The sequence below is a fragment of the Homo sapiens genome, chromosome 12 (assembly GCF_000001405.40).
Source record: "Homo sapiens chromosome 12, GRCh38.p14 Primary Assembly".
In the NCBI taxonomy this organism is placed as follows: domain Eukaryota; kingdom Metazoa; phylum Chordata; class Mammalia; order Primates; family Hominidae; genus Homo; species Homo sapiens.
In genome coordinates, this window is record NC_000012.12 from 27184163 (window position 1) to 27199001 (window position 14839).

The following is a 14839-nucleotide window of genomic DNA, read 5'->3' on the forward strand; positions in this document are numbered from 1 at the left end:
CACGGCCTCTCACATGCCTTTATACTTCTCTCTAATAAATACCTGATTATTGCACCAAACAGCAACCTGGTATGTTTTTGGACAAGTCTTTGAAAAAAGTATGTCTTCCTAGTTAAAAATGATTATTGTACTGCTGAAAACTGGGAAACCACTTACATAAAATATGTGTATATATGTGTATTTTCCCACAGCATTTTCTAATGAGAAATCATCTTAACTAATCATCCAGGCATATTATCAAAAATTGAAGAAGGGAATATTGACATATGAAGAAGCTAAGTGGAAGAAAGCAATACAATGAACAAAGGAGGAAAAGTCACAAAGATCTCTGATTTTAGCCGACAGAAATACACCATTTGTGTATTCCTCGCTGGAGGAGGGAGGACCCACTTTCAAGATGGTTCATTCACATGCCTGGCAAGCTGGCAGGAATGCTGGCCAGTGCCGGCTACAGCTGTTGGCCAAAGGGGATGATCATCCTCAACATGGCTCCTCCATAGCTGCTTGGGTCTCTTCGTAGCTTGGCAGCTGAGTTCCAAGAGGGAAGAATTAGAAGTTTCCAGTCCTCTTAAAAAGCCGGGCCCAGAATTATCACAGAATCATTTATCCTGTATTCTATTGGTCAAATCAGTCTCAGGCCTAAACAGATTCAAGAAGGAAAAGAAATAGACCCCAACTCAGGGGTGGGCTGGGATGACTTAGAGAGTGACAAAGAATTTGCAGTTATTTTTCATTTATAATTCATTTGTTTATTAATCCTCAGCAGTTTTAAATGTATATATGCAGATGTGTATATGTTTTCTTTTTACAAAATTTAGATCATACTGAAAAAAGTACAACATGAATTTTTATTGTATCACAAACATTCTCTCAAGTCATTAAATATTCTTGAAAAATTGATTTTACTGGCTGTATCATATGGATTTGCCATAATTTATTAATGATTAAAAAATTGTCTGGAAATAAAATACCTTTTAAAATGCAGTAAATTGCTAATAGTTCTATATCCATGTGGTTCTATTATGCGTGATTTGGATTTTTTTATTGTACACTTTTCTGCATTCCTATGTTTTCTACAATGACATACACCGTAATTTTTTTTTATCCCTTCAGGTGCTACTGTCTTCCCGTCAGTCTGTGTTACCCCAGAACCATCTCTGTTCTAAGCCAAGGTGTGGAAGAAGCCCTTCCCATAATTCTGCTAAGCTTTGTCATGCAATCTCATGGTATCTTCATCAGACATCTGAATTGAGCCTTGAAGTGTGAGTAGGAGTTCATCAGGTGAGGGGTAAATGTAACACTTACATTTTGCCAGAGTCTACCTCTCTCCCAGATTGACTTCCTTTTCATAGCTTTATGAAATCAGTTATACCATTTGATGCTGGGGTTGCCTGCCTGCACCTCTAATCTTGGTTGGGGCCGGAAACTCCCTGCTATTGTAGCAGCAACCTCACATCACTGCCTCTGTCACCACCAACCACAGCTGGAGCAGGAGTATGAACTGGATACTGTAAAGGAAATGCCTGTGTGACCACCACTGTGAGAACCTTAGCATTTGAGATGGACCTTGTGGCACTGCAGGCCACGGGCTCTTGCACAGTATTTATAATCAGTAAAAAGAAGTTAATAATAGAAATGGCATTGTATCTGGAGTCTGATTCATAAATCTTGCTGACTATAGGCCAAAAACCATTAAGTTCTGACTCAGTGTCACTCAAACCAAGAGTGTTTGAAACTAAGGGCTCCAGAGCTCTGAAATGCTAAAATGTCTTTCTGTGAATAATGCTTTCCTTGGGAGCAAATCAAGAAATACTCCCAGTGTGTTGGCAAGTAGTCTTTCCAGAGGCCAACATTAGGAAATTCAGACTGCCCTGTTTAAAAATGATAGAGTATTGGTATTTCAATTCCTTACACAATGGTTGATTAAAGCTAATTAATATAGCATATGTTTGCAGTTTTACCCCAGAGGCCATGATAAATCAGGTACAGTGGTAACTTCTCCTTGCTAACGTTGACATTTCCCACTGCTGTGGGTGGAGTGCTCATGGACCTGAGTATCTGTGATAAATGGCACGAATTTCCTTAGAGAAAAGCCACGCCCTACATCAGATTATTATTCTTTAATCCTGTACATTTGGGTAGAATTTTTTTCAGGGCTTTTATTTTTAGGGCTTATTTAGAAATCTAGAATGAGAAAATGTTTGTCTCAACTCTGAGATGTGTATGTATGCGGGTGGATATGTGTATGTGTTTCCTACTTCTGAGTCACGCTGTCCACAAGGGACAAACCTTAAGGGGGCCCCATTATGTATAAAACACTGTGCTGTGTGCTGAGCCAAGGTGCCACTGCTTGACCAGCAAAGCACCTGGGTCCCCATCTCACCAAGTGGATGCATGGTCTCCTCAGTCCTGCACCATGAAGAAAGCCTGGTCAGACCAGCAGAGGTTCCTTTGACTCAACAATCCTTTAAATAGTTATCCTGACCTTTCCAGAAGCCCAGCCTTCTGTGGGATGTGTTAGAAATTGCAGCTATCCTCAGCTGAACAGCTTGTGGCTACTTCTTAGCCTTTTCTCAGACCATTCTATCCTTGAATATGTCCAGGGGCTTTCACCACCGCACTAGTTCTAGCTCTCCCTGACATCCTCATCCAGTAGCTGCCATGCCTGCCACCCCACTCCATTCATATTATTAATAGTTTCTTATCGCAGCTATAATAAATTGTCACAAACTTGGCAACTTAAAGACACAAAAATTTATTCTTTTGTAATTCCAAAAGCCAGAAGTCTAAAATTGGTTTCACTGGGTGAAGTCAAGGTGTTGGCAGGGTGCTTCCTTATGGAGACTCTAGGGGAATATGTTTCCTTGCCTTTTCCAGCTTCTAGAGCTGTTTTCCTTGCACTTTTTGGCTCATGATCCTTTCTTCTGTCTTCAAAAGTGGCAATGTAGCATCACCTTCAAATCTCTATCTCTCTCTACCTCCACCTTCACATTACCTTCCCTCTTAGAAGAACCCTTGTGATTACATCAGGCCCACTTGGCTAATCCAGGACAATCTCCCCATTTCAAGATCGCCAACTTAACCACATTTGCAAAATCCCTTTTGCCATAAATGTAACAGCGACAGGTTACAGAGTTTAGGACATGGACATCTGAATGTCCATGGTGAGGCTGGGAGCCACTATTTAGTTTAACAAGTCATTTGGTGCTGGCCAGCTGCTGTTGCCTTAAGGCACCTAAATTAATCATGCCAGTGTTCCTGCGGAGGGCTCTGAAGTATGTTAACACATATGTGAGGTGTGACTTTTATCCTAGAGAAATAGTACATGACAGCTGGAAGCAGAACATTGTAGCAGTCTCTAGAGTCAGACTATCTGGATTTCAATTCTAGTCCCTGTCTCTTAACCACTTAAAAGCTATGTGGCTGGACATGGTGGCTCAAGCCTATAATCCCAGCACTTTGGGAGGCTGAGGTGGTGGATCACCTGAGATCAGGAGTTTGAGACCAGCCTGACAAAATAGCAAAACCCTGTCTCTACTAAAAATACAAAAATGAGCCGGGAGTTGTGGCATGCCTGTAGTCCCCGCTACTCGGGAGGCTGAGTCAGGAGAATCGCTTGCACCTGGGAGGCAGAGGTTGCAGTGAGCTGAGTTCGTGCCACTATACTCCAGCCTGGGTGATAGAGCAAGACTCCATCTCAAAAATAAAAATAAAAATAAATAAATAAATAAACAAATAAATAAATAAATGCAAGCTCTGTGACCCAGGGAAAGTTACTTGTTCTCGCTAAATCTGTTCCTCATCTATAAGCTGACATCTGCCTCCCAGCATATTGTTAAGATAAAATGAGGCAGTGCTTATAAAGCGATTAGTACAGTATGCAATATATAGAAAAATATTCAATGATTAGCTCTTATTACTATGAATAGTCTGTTTTCCTTAAAAGATAAAAGCAGGAGGTTCAGAAATATTAAGTGATTGATCTTTGCCTCATCCCCCCACCCTCAGCCTCAGAAGCTATAAATAGAGCAAAATCCCAAGTGAGACACTGGAGCTATTTGGACCCAGCTGAGAAACCCCTTTCCCCCACCTCCCCAAATGCAGCTGATGTCACCTCACCCTACTGCAGTTCACACCACTCCAGAAGGGCCTCTGAGCCATGCTCCTTCCTTTCTCCTTCAGTCTTCCTGAAGGGAGCCAATGCCTTGACATCCATAGTAGTTGCCATTGACCCATAGGTCCTTGCCAATGTCCTGCAGTGCTCCCCACACAGGCCCTCAAACCCATCTTGGCGAATGCTTGCTGCAGCATTATTTTGATGAATGGTCAACTGCTGTAAATCTCATTGCTGCTGCCTACTGGGTTTGGATGTCTAATTTATGTTTCAGAATTAACATGTCCAAGACCAAACTTTTGAATACCTCCAACCCAACGGCTCCTTCCTGGATGATTCTCATCTGAAAGAATGGCGTCACCATACTTGCCAGCTGTCACTCAGGACAAATAGTGGCACCACCCAGCCTAAGGCACCATCATCTCACATCTGGAGTATTGCTACCTAACAACTCTTTCTACTTTCTTTCTCTTACAATCCCTCCACAACATGAATTAGATAATGTCACTTCACCATTTAATCCTCTCCCATGGCTTACCATTATTCTTAATCAAAATCCAAAGTCCTTATCATAGCCTACAAGTCCCTGCAAGATGTGGCCCCTGCCTACTTCTCTGATCTCATTTCCCAATATTTTTTGCTCACAGCTCTTTTTTTTTTTTTTTTGAGACAGAGTCTGGCTCTGTCACCCAGGCTGGAGTGCAGTGGCATGATCTCAGCTGACTGCAACATCCACCTCCAGGGTTCAAGCAGTCTCCTGCCTCAGCCTACCAAGTAGTTGGGACTACAGGCATGCATCACCAGGCCCAGCTAATTTTTGCATTTTTTCTTGTAGAGACGGGGTTTCGCCATGTTGGCCAGGCTGGTCTTGAACTCCTGACCTCAAGCAGTCCACCCGTTTCAGCCTCCTGAAGTGCTGGGATTATACGCGTGAGCCACCGTGCCCAACCCGGCCTTCTTATCCCAGGAATACCCTGAGCATGCTCCTGCTTCAGGACCTTGGCCCATGCTGTTTCCTTTGCCTAGAATACTCTTCCCCCTAGATAGCCACATGTTTTGTGTCCTTACTCCATTCAGGTCTTCTTCAAGTGTCATCTCCTCATAGAGGCGTTTCCTTACCAACCTATGTACAAAAAGCATTCCCATCACTTTATTTTCTTTAGAGTGCTTATTATTACATGACATTGTATTATACGCTGTGCTGTTTATTATCTTCACTCCCACTAGATGGAAGCTCCATTTTCACCATTGCATTTTCAGCCCTTAAAATGGCACTTGATTCATAGTTGGTATTTGATACATATTTTTTAATTGAAAAATTGCTTTCTATGTGTAGGCAGTGTTCTACATCTTTTATAAGTATTAATTATCTTAATCTCTCTAATAGCTTTATGAGATAAATACAATTATTATTATTATTTTGAGACAGAGGCTCACTCTGTCACCCAGGCTTGAGTGCAGTGGCACGATCTTGGCTCACTGCAACCTCCGCCTCCTGGATTCAAGGCATTCTCCTGCCTCAGCCTCCTGAGTAGCTGGAACTACAGGCGCCCACCACCATGCCTGGCTAATTTTTGTATTTTTAGTAGAGATGGGGTTTCATCATGTTGGCCAGGCTGGTCTCAAACTCCTAACCTCATATGATCCACCCACCTCAGCCTCCCAAGGTGCTGGGATTACAGGCGTGAGCCACCGCACCCAGCTAGTAAGTACAATTATTATCTTTCTTTTAGAGATGAGGAATAGCTTCCCTTCTGAACAGGTTGATCTGCAAGCTCCCATTGGTACATGATCACCTTTCTCTATATGTATGTAGAGCATTGTGGAATAGGTCCTTTTGTGACTATATCTCTCTAGTCCCAGTCTAAGCATGCTTTTCCTGGGAAAGATAACTTGCGGGATTGCATGAGCTCTGCTACTTCTGTGTTTGTAAGGTTCCCTCTGGTAAACTGTATTTTGCATTTGTATCATGTGTCATGAATGGAGTATATGTTCATATCTCCTTTGCACAGTGGTTAGATATTTCTGTGTTGGATTACTTTTGTCATTCAAAAAGAAAGCATGACCCTAAACCAATAAAGCATGCCTTGAGGGTAAATATTGTATTTATAGAAATTCTTAAAATGGATTACAATCCAAGGATACCCTGTCTCTCCTGCTCTGTGCCTAGCCTGTAACTGGCATTCTACTACCTAGAAGAGTAAGCTGGTTAACACATCCCTTGGCTTGACTCAAAAACCACCTGTGTCTGTGAGTGGACTTTCTGGAAGCTCTAACTTCTTGCTTCCCATGTGGGCTCCAGTGAGCACTAACTTCACTGGAAGAAGGTGTTTGGAGGAAAAGTCCAAATCCCTTCCTAAGAGATCAATACATCTGAATGAGATACTGATATTTTTCCCCTTACCATATATGCCCAGAGCCTCTTTTTTCCGGAAATTATTTCTGCTAGTTCTAAGTCATTTGGTTTCTTTGATTTCTTTCCCCCTACCCTCCTAGGATTACATTTGAAATCCTTTATTTTTATTTGCTGTAAAAATGTGGGTCAAAGAATTCCACATTCCAGTTTGTTCCCATCATCCCTTACAGCTATTTGCTTTGTGGGTGTAGGCCAGTTTTTGCTATTTTTTTTTATCTCAAACAGCAAGTCCTTTTAGAGGCAATGTTGTCATCCATTGGTTTTTCTGCAAACAGTCTGCGTTCTTTGGTATTTCTTAGAATCATTTAAAATTTCCTGTTGGATAAGATTTTGTTCTACTGAAATTCCATTTGCAATGTTTTTCCTGTTAGTTTAAAAATACACATATACACACAGAGAATCTTTCTTTTCCACCATCCACCCTTCTTTCCATTGTTTATTAGCTTTGGCTACAGAGGCGTTCTAGAGTTTAATACCATCCAGCTCTGTCTCACTGACAGGGATGCTCATGCTACAAGGAGAAAAGTCCTAGGAGAGGAGCAAGTGCAGTGGAGCTGAACTTTAACATGTGAGGTGTGGAAGTCAGGAGGTCAGAACAAAACTGGCTGCTGCTCTGCTGTGTGGTGGGCAGGGCTGTTTGTCTCTGGGAGGTTCTCCTGAGGTGATTGTTGCCACTGCAGCATCGTAGGAGAGTAGAAGTCAGCAATGGGCAGGTTGGGGCAGTAACTGAGAAGCAGAGCCATTAACAGCCCAAATCCAGTCCTGGTGCAAATGATAATGAGATCTTTACTTTTCTTCCTTTTCTTTCTCTCATTCCTCTCTCTACTCCTCACCTTTCCTCTCCTTGGACCCTCATACTGTCTTATTAGCTCTCTTCTTTAATGTAGAAGAAAATGCTGGCATGAAAATGCACTATTCAAAGACTAAACTGTGTAATTGCAACAGAAAATCTGGTGCTATTCAGGACAACAGGGGCAGCATAGCAGAGCTGTCCTGTTAAGCTTTGCTCTACAGGGCAGGTCATGACTGTGGTGTACTTTCCTTCTCCTTAATTCCAGTCCTGACCCTTGCAAAGAAGTAAGAGGTAGATGAGTTGAGAAATATTGCTGGGATGTAAGTCTGCTGAGTCTCAGAGTCCATCTCTGCTTTTGCAAGCCTCTTCCATAGACAGGCCCCAGTTCTTTCCTTTAGTCACACTGCGTGCGCATCATGTGCCAAGTATTGTGCTGGGGATATAGTGGTAGTCAATATAAAAACAATGCCCGCCCTCATATACCAGCAAGGTACAAAAGCTGTTGAGGTAATTGCAAGTGTAAGTAGTGTTGCCCAAAAGCATATTAAGGATACAATGGAAGCGTGCAGTGAGAGAGCTGATCTGGTCTCCTTTATGTGTAGGCTTGGCCCTGCCTACACTATCATCAGCCCTTGTCCAGCTGCTGACCCTTAGAATCTGACTTGCCAGCAAAGACCTAGGAAGCCCTGGGCATCCATGTCGACTGGACAGATAACAGCCTTCCCCAGGCACCTACCATGTTAACGCACTATGTTTGCACTTTGATCATTTCCATAGCCCTGCACTCTAGTTCTTTTGCCCTTTCAAATGTTCTTAGTTCTTGCCAGGTCCCTCCCCTATAAAACCAAGTCCTTTCTCTGATACCTTCAGCCACTGGCTGGGCTCTGCTGGGATTGACCCACTCTCCATCCACCTGACTTTGATTCTAGCCTGTCACTGGAACTCCCACTGACGTGTCCCACACTTTAGATTGAACCAACCTGTCATCTAAACCAAACCACGCTGGGCCTGGACCACAGAGTTTCCAGAGCTCCTTCGGTTCACCCTCAGTCCTTACTCTTCTGGTTCCTGGTTTTTCCCTCTCCTCTTTCATTTTGCTGTGACCCAACAGCAAAGTTTGTGGCTAAGTCTGAGAGTGACACTCTGGGCTTGTTGGCAACTGAATAGCTATTGATTTGTTCTTTCTCCTTTGCACACATTGTTAAGTATTGAATAATTAGTCAACAAAAATATCCTGAGAGCCCACCATGCACTATTCTGAGCACTGAGGAAATGCCAGTGAACAAAACAAAGATCCCTGAACTTCCACACATGCCCATCCATTCTGTGTGTGCTCTCTGTGAATGTAGAGCTTGAAAATCAGAGGGACTCTGACATGAGATCAGTCAGGCCCTCTACTCAATGTACAAGACACACTGTGCTTCCAAATCTCCAAGTTTCTCAAGACCAAGGGACCCAGGTGTTGCCTTATTTCCATGCCTCTCACTTCCACTACTGAAAATAAATCCAGCCAGGCACAGTGGCTCACATCTGTAATCCTAGCACTTTGGGAGGTTGAGGTGGGAGGACTGTTTGAGACCAGCCTGTCTCTACAAACATAAAAAAAAATAATAAAAAATTAGCTAGGTGTGGTGGGTGCGTGCCTATGGTCCTAGTTACCCAAGAGGCTGAGGCTGGAGGATCACTTCAGCCTGGGAGGTCCAGGCTGCAGTGAGTTGTCATTGCACCACTGCACTTTAGCCTGGGTGACAGAGTGAGACCCTGTCTAAAAAAAGGAAAAAAAAGAAAAGGAAATGAAATGAATCCCCATGTGGACTGTTTCCAAACCACCCTGCTATAAGCATGACGTCAACTCACAAATTGCTGCACCAAGTTTATAAACTACAACTGATAAATGAGTTTCTGGCTTGTAAATCAAATAATTGCCCTTTGAGACTTGCAGAATGGACAACACAGATTGCTCATTGCTGACACAAAGATTCTAAGCTAAGTTTTCTAATTTCAGAGACTTTAACCAGGCTATTAAGGGAACACAAACTTGACTTTCTCTCTAATTAAAGCCTATTATAATATAATAACATAGCTCACTGCTGGATAAATACTCCTTTATTTTTCACTCCAACAGTACCTAATTTGGTGGCACGGACACACACACGTTCTATATAGGGCTTATAACCTGAACATATGTGTAGCTGTCTTTGCATTTTTTAGCTGTTTTGTTCTATGTTTTGCCTCTCTTCTTAGTTTCAGAGTTCACTTATTGACTATGATAATTACTGAGCAAACAAATATGACCTATTAAGGGCAATTACTGTTAAGCATAATTTTTAAATCATGCCCTAGGACCAAACACTTTTCTTGAGCCTTGAGACAAATGTCCCACATGCTGGCTGAGTAGCAAAAAAGCAGAGGTTGGGATGATCTCCTGGGTGCTGCCAGCAAGCACAGGAATGTGCCAGTGATGTCAGGCAGAGCAGGGCAGGCATCAGATAGCTGGAGTGGGGAACTGGCCATGTGGTGTGATGTGAGAGATTTCCAAAAAAGGTCCTGGACTGAAAAAGTCCTTCCTCTCTGCTACAGACAGGGGCTGTGATTGTTGGAATGAGTGTGAGGTAAGCCTCACCACTCCGACTTCTAGCCTGTGTCTGCCAACATCTCATTCAACAGGATGTAAATCTGGGGAGGAAGCCTCTGTCCTCAGGCTCCTGGCTCCTGGCTCCTGGTATGGAGCTAAGAGGTTTCATGGTCTGTCCTGGCTCCCAGGCTGATGTCTGTGACCTCCACAGATGGAATCTGCCTTCTTTTATTCCATTCTTGTTTTCCCAAACATTTAGCAATGCCTTTTAAGAGCACATGTTGGACACTGAGAACACATGGCAAAATTATATGTATGTCCCTTCTCTCAAGGATCTGATGAGGATTTAAAAAAAATAAACATTTTTAAAAAGAAGCAAATGAGGAGGATCTTTGTGGTGACCGAATACTTCTGTGTCCTGATTACAGTAGTGGTTTCATGAATCTACACTTGATAACATATCAGAGAACTATATACATTGTTTTAATGTCAGTTTCCTGGTTTTGATATTGTACTATAGTTATATAAAATATAACCATTGGGGGAAACTGCGTGAGGGTACAGGGGACCTCTCTGTACTATCTCTGTAACTCTCTGTGACTCTAGAATTATTTCAAAATAAAGAAGTAGTTGCTCTCATTTCCATGTTTTGCCCAAGAACGTAGGTTAAGGGAAATTTAATGACTTGGTTAAAATGACAGAACAGAGTGTGAGCGTTAAGCAAGTGCATATTTAGGTCAAGTCAGGGGGGAAACCTGGACTGTTTCTGTAGATCTGGGAATCATCAGCCTTGACATGATAATTAATGGTGTAGAAGTGGGTAAGGCCACTGGTGAAGAAGGTTGGAGAGCTGAAAACAGCATCATCAAAGAGGTGAATAAAGAGACTGAGATGGGAGGAGCCAGAGAGAAAGGAGAAAAATCAAAAGAATCACTCCAATGGGAGTCCAGGGGAGAAATGAATGTCCAGAGTCAAATGCTGCTGAAAGGGCAAGAGGGATAAGGACTGGTGTCCTCTGACTTCTGCCACAGGGAGATCACCTGTGACTGATTGGAAATGAATGAGAGGAGACTGGAGGCCACATGTCTAAGATACTATTTCAATAAACTCTGGTGTAAAGAGCAGGAGAGAGACAGCACAATAGATGGAATGGGATGTGGATTTGACCGAGAGTTGTTTGTTTTAAGATGGGAGAGAGGAGGAGAGGGACAGCACAATAGATGGAATGGGATGTGGATTTGACCGAGAGTTGTTTGTTTTAAGATGGGAGAGAGGAGGTGAGAGAGACAGTCGTTGAAGACTCACGAGGGAGACGAGGCAATCAACTGAGGAGAGTGGCCAAGCAGCTGGAAGGGACAGGACCAAGAATAGGCAGAGAAGTTTGGCCTTAGATAAGAGAGAAATGCATCCTCTAATGAAGAGGTGAGGAGGGAGAAGTGATGGGTATGGATGTGGGCGGCATGTTAGAATTGTTGGCAGGAACTTGGCAAGTTCCATTCTGAGATCTTCAATATTCCTTTGTGAACTAGGAGACAAGGTCATCTGCTGAGAGTGAGGAGACAAGAGCATCAGAGATTTGCAATGATGAGAGGAATTTTGAGCTGGTTGTAGGGAGGGGGGATGAGGGTAACTAGGGTAACACGTCAAGGAGACTGGAACAGGATGGCTGCAACATGTGCTGTTGGTGCCCCGTTGAATCCCCTTGGCACTCATGGTTCAGGTACAAACATGCTGACAGCTTTTTATTGCAGGCACCTACAGCTTTGCCTGGGGGGTGTTCTCTAGCTGGGAGCTTGTGTGACTTGTGCATAAGGCAGCCTGGAATAAAAGGGAGTTAATGCCACCGAGAGCCATTCTCAACCAATGACAGAGAGAAATATGGGGGCCAACTCACAGGTGGGCTCTTGGAGGTCTCCAGTGGAACTGAGCCCACTGTAGTAATCTGCTCATCAACACACCCTGTGTTGGTTTCCTCCACTCTGTCCCGTTTCCCTCTCCGTCTCTGTCTCTCTTCTCTCTCTCCTGTTCATTCTTTTACTTGGGTTTATCTCCAAATAAACCACTTACATTCAGATCCTTGTCTCAGGCTCTGCCTTTGAGGGAACTGCACCCAAGAAAAGGGCCTAGTCGGAAAGGGCCCGGATAAGTATCATTATACTTGTCTACCAAGATGTGATCATCTAGCAGTGCTTGGCAGCCTAGGTATGAAAAACAAAAACAAAGGATAGGAGCTTTTGTTGCAGATGCAGTGAGAATAATGAGGCGAAGGTACTTAAAATATTGGCAGGAGAAAGTGTGAAATGATGGATCATTAAGTCTAAGATGAATGGGGGCGTGGATTAGAGGACCTGAAGTAAAAAGGGAACAAATGTATTATGACAGTTAGGCATGCCAGTTGAGAGGATAAGAGACTGTGATTAGAGAGAGGGATACCTGATTTAGTAATGTTAGAGATGAGGCAGTTTGTGTGTACTGTGGCCTTGAGAGCATGTGACTGTAGAGTATCAATCTACTGCATTTTATTGAAAATGAGGCATTCAAAATTTCCTGAGACTAGAAATGGGATGATATGTCCACACAGATATTTAAGTAACCTTGGATGATAGTGGTTTGAAAGACTATATGTCAGTTGCCAGAGTCTTTAATTAAGGGTAGAGGCCAGGCTCAGCAGCTCATGCCTGTAATCCCAGCACTTTGGATTCAAGGCAGGAGGACCGCTTGAGGCCAAGAGTTTGAGACCAGCCTGGACAGCATACTGAGACCTTGTCTCTACAAAAAAATAAACAAATAAAATTAAGCTAGGTGTGACAGCGTGTGCCTGTGGTCCTAGCTACTTAGGGGGCTGAGCTGGGGGGATCACTTGAGCCCAGGAGGTCGAGGCTGCAGGGAGCTGAGATCACACCAGTCGGTGACAGAGTGAGACCCTGTCTCAAATAACAATAACAATAATAATAATAGTAGAATGATCAGAAACTCTGCTGATGAGGAAGGATAACAATTGACATCATTGAATAAATGGGCCTCAAGGTATCAATAATTGAAGCCATCTCTCTGTGTTTATATATTCAGCTTTTGAAACCCGCAATTACTTTTGCACCAACCTAATAGATTTGCGTCACTCTTTTTAAGGGCTGCATAGTGTTCCATGGATGCTTAGACCACAATTTACTTAGCCAACCCCTACTGAGGAACACTGAAGTTGTTTCCTGTTTTTCAAAAGTATAAATAAAGTGTGAGTACCTGTTTTCAAATTTGTATTATCTCTTTGGAGTAAAGTCTGACAAGTAGAATTGTTGCAGTGAAGAGTCTGCACATCTTATGTTTGATACTTCTTGTCAGATAGCCCTTTCGAGAAGTTGTGCTATTTTATATACCCGCGGAAAAAACACAAAGTGTGTGTTTCTCCTAACCATGTCAATGCATGTGTTTGATCAATTTTTAGAGATCTTTGCCAGTCTGATAGATGAAAATCATTTCATTATTGTTTAATTTGCCTTCTGAATATTTGTGAATTGAACATTTTTCCATGTTTGTTGACCATTTGCATTTTTAATTTATCTGTGACTTATACCCATTATTTTCTATTAGATTGTTAATTTTTCTTGATTTATGTAAGCTCTTTTATTATTGTGTGGATATTAACCCTTTGCCTTTGGACAGTATTGTTAATATTTTCCTGAGTTTGTCATTTGTCTTTCAACTTTGTGTATGATTTTTTTGCCACACAGAAGTTTTCAATTGTACTCAACATTATTTATCATTATTTTTCCCCTGTATTATTTTACTTTTGTGTTTTAAAGTGTTCACATGTAAATTTTTAGCCTGTCTAATTTATTTGGTGCAATGAGGTAAGGATTTAATATTTTCTTGCTAATTACTAGCCAATCTTCCCAATATTTTTTAAAGATCCTGCCATTTCTTCAGGGATTTGAATGCCACTTTTCGTCACATACTCAAGTGCCTAGGTCTCCCCCATCCTCCCACCCTCTGCAATCCTGGGCCTCTACCTAGTGTCAGAGTGTGAGCCCCAGCCCAGCCCCTAGCTCAACAGCAGCCAGGGGAATTGAGCAGTGTCTCAGATGGAGTCCGGGAAGCAGGGGGAGAGGGTGGGATGGCTGTAGCATTGCAGCAGCACTTGGGGAACAAGACTGACTCACACAGTGACTGGAACATTCATGGGCGGCTCCTTCGAAGCACAAAAATAAATGGGTATTTAACAGCAAAGTGGCAGACTGCCTAGGCATTTACTCCCTGGACTGCAGCACTGGGATGAGGGCTCCTCCATTCTGGCCATTGCTTTAGGTGCTGCTATGATTGCCACTTGCAGCAGACCTATCCCCTGATCACAGCTCCAGGATCTGCCTGGGTGAACATTGATCTCTAGCTGGAATCAGAGGGGACACCCAGATTCTGGTGCCCCCGCCAGACCCTGCTCTAGATTATTTCCCTCCCTTTGTTACCGCTTTCAGGAGCCATTGCCTTTCTTTTGGGCTGTCAACCTGTATACACCGATTCTTCCCTCTTTTCACTCAGTGGCGCTGTGGCTTCTCGTCTAAGAGTGGCTAGTCTACAAGTTTGAATACACCCTTCTAAATCCTCACATTACTTTTTCTAGGGACAGCTTCCTTAAATCCTTATACAATCATATACTTCAAAAGAGAGTTATATTTAGTGTTTCAAAGGTTAAAATAAATAAAACAATAAAGTTTAATCTGTATTAAGGCATTCTGCTACATAAATTCTTGAGCAAAAAATATGTTTATAATTGGGGAGACTTAACCATCACTATTGCTCCTCGTATCATTCCAAGAACCTCAGTGACATTGGTGCTGCTTCTGCTGGTGCTCAGCCAGTGGAGTTTACTGCTGGTCTCTCCATCCCCAGAGCCTCTGTTGCTCCAGTACCCAGAGGTGGGTTACCCATCCCTAAAGTCCTTTGAAT

The 14839-nt window shown here is 42.8% G+C and overlaps 1 pseudogene; it reads left to right on the plus strand.

The window, feature by feature from the left end:
• LOC124902904 (liprin-beta-1-like) overlaps nt 1-14623 on the plus strand; it is a 98657-nt pseudogene extending 84034 nt beyond the window's left edge.
• Nucleotides 14624-14839: the final 216 nt, after the last annotated feature.